General features: G+C 30.0%; 1 annotated feature.

The window, feature by feature from the left end:
• Positions 1,252 to 1,401: a silencer, noted in NCBI's record as "silent region_17530". NCBI's record gives its function as "represses an Ori minimal core promoter by ATAC-STARR-seq in GM12878 lymphoblastoid cells {active_cell/tissue: GM12878}" and the evidence as "EXISTENCE:reporter gene assay evidence [ECO:0000049][PMID:35858748]".

Raw genomic sequence — 2,617 nt, forward strand, 5'->3', positions numbered from 1 at the left:
TTTTAAAATAACAATTATTCTTTTATTTTTTGACCATCTTAATTCTCTAAGAAACTATTTATATAATAAATTTACATGTTAGATTTAATGAAGACGTAATTGCCTCAGAAAAAATTAATAATCTTTGTAAAGTCAACATAATCCAAATTGAAATGTTTGTCTCATATTACAGAGAAAATTTTAATATCCAGACCATGTTATGTAAATGGATTTTATAAGTCATTAAGAAAAAGAAATAACTTAGAAAAATAGCTAAACAGAGTGAACAGTCAATTAATCTGAGAGAGAGAAACTGGCTAAAAATAATTTGTAAAGACTTGATCTCACTAAAGGAAGAATAAAAAAGAAAACAATTAAAATTTTATTTGATCAGATAGGCAAGCATTACAATGATTTATAATAGAATTGTTGAGAGTTAGTAAGATGTGCAAATTTATTTCATAAGAGAGGTAGTATAAATTAATATATCCTTCTTGGAATCCCATGTGATAAAGTCTCTCAAAATTCAATTTCAAGTGATATATATTTTAACCCAAAGAAAGTTTTCCTACTGTAGATGCACATGTTTTCTTAAGTAAACATTCATGGTCACCTTTTATGTGCCAGGCACTATGTGAGATACTGGGAATAAAATGGCAAATAATATTTACCACAGGATCATTTTAAATACAAAAATTTGCAACCAATTAAAATTTCCATGCTAAGAGGTTGGTTATACGAACTTACAATATAGTATTGTGTCAACCTTGAAAGAACAAAGTAAGTCTGTAAGAACTGGCATTTTAAAAAATTTATCAATATCTCTGGATGAAATATAAAGGATTAAATTATATGTAAATAAATGTTGACAAACTGTATGATATATTTCCTTTCTGGTAAAATAAATTTAAATATGCATAGAAAGAATACGGAAGGTTATCTACCAAAATTTTACCACTAAATTGTTAAATTGTTAATTTTGTTTTGAATCATTAGGGTCACTTGCCTAAGTCAATAAATAAATGAATAAGGAAGTAAACTAATCAAGGTTAGATCATCAAACATTTAACTACCTAATTTTTAAATTGTATTATTCTTTACATGTTTTTCCCCAATAGCATGAGCAGAAAACTTCATTAATGAAAACTATTAATGGAAAGACCCTAGCATATAAAAATTCTTGTAATTTATTTCAATGGTCTTTACAATGAAGCAAATCTAAAATGAAAAAAACTCCCTCAAAACATAAAATTATGTCAGCCTCTTTATGTTTCCCCTCTCTGCCTTTTACCTGGGACCTGGTGCCTATTTTCTTTAGCCGAATGGTGGCAGCATTTGAACACTGTTACTCATGGCCTGCTGGGCATGTGCCCCGATTAGGCAAAACCAGGGTTAGTATGATGTCCTCAGATAGGCATGGCTAAATGAGACCTCTATGCTGAGACCATATCAAGAGGCTCCATAGTGCCTTTGTATGAAAATACCTCAAAGAAGAAAATAATATCTACCTTTGATTGCCATGTATGAAAATTATACATATTTTAGAATGTTTTAATTTTTAGAAAGAACTTAATATAAATTAAACAACTTGAGAATTGGTATTAGTGCTAGTAGTGCTTTTCACAATTAATTACATATATTTTTTTACTTACACTCTTGAAAAGGACACTTACTAATTCTGAGTCTTAAATTACTCCTGCTTCTCTTATTAAAAGAAAAGTAAAACATGTTTAATGTGTTTTCTGGAGAATGGTGAAGAGCTATTTTAAAGCAGTCTGTTTCAGTTTTAGGAAATCAGATTGTCACCATGTGAATGTGCTCATTGGCAGGATGGTACATAGTTTTCATATTCACCATTCTCTTGGAACCTAACACTTTGTCTGAAATGAATAAATAAATGATGTCTAATTCACCACCTGATGATTAGTTTCTTGGAGCTGCTGTTCTGGTTAATATCATCATAAAATAATACTAAAATTTGTTCATAAAATATAATTTTATGGATTTGCATTTTTAAAATATCTGGAGCACAAATATTTAACATGAATGTTAACAAAACATCTTTGAGACTTTTACATTGCTTTTCTTGCAGTGTGTGAGTGTGGTTTGGTAAGCAGTTTTTAAAAATCACCTTTAATAATTTGTGGTTCATAGCAAAAACATTGAGTGAGATACTGAAATGTTCATATAACATCAGTAAAAAATTATTGTGTCAACTGTTAGCAATTCTATTATAAATTAAGAAAATATATCTTCTGTTTAGCTATTCCAAATCCATGTTTAACCACATACTCACCTAAATCTTGCACGAAGACTTAAACTCTCTAAAGTTCTGCTTCCTCATCCATAAAGTGAGGATGAAAATACATCTGTTATCTTAGGAATAGTCACTATTTGGGAAGATTCAATATGATAATGTATGTAAAGCACTTAGTATGGGGCCTGGAACATACTGAGTTTTATAGAGAATGCTCTAGTTTATTGTGACTGTGGAGTATACTTCTGGAAGTGGGAAATTTCTGGATTAGAGCAACACAGTGTAGCAATGATAAATGGGGTAGACTTTGCATAGGGATTCATCTCCAATTATAGGCATGGCTTACTGCATGAATGCATTTGTGTGTGTGTGTGTTTCTGT

This window comes from Homo sapiens, chromosome 6 (assembly GCF_000001405.40).
Source record: "Homo sapiens chromosome 6, GRCh38.p14 Primary Assembly".
In the NCBI taxonomy this organism is placed as follows: Eukaryota; Metazoa; Chordata; class Mammalia; order Primates; family Hominidae; genus Homo; species Homo sapiens.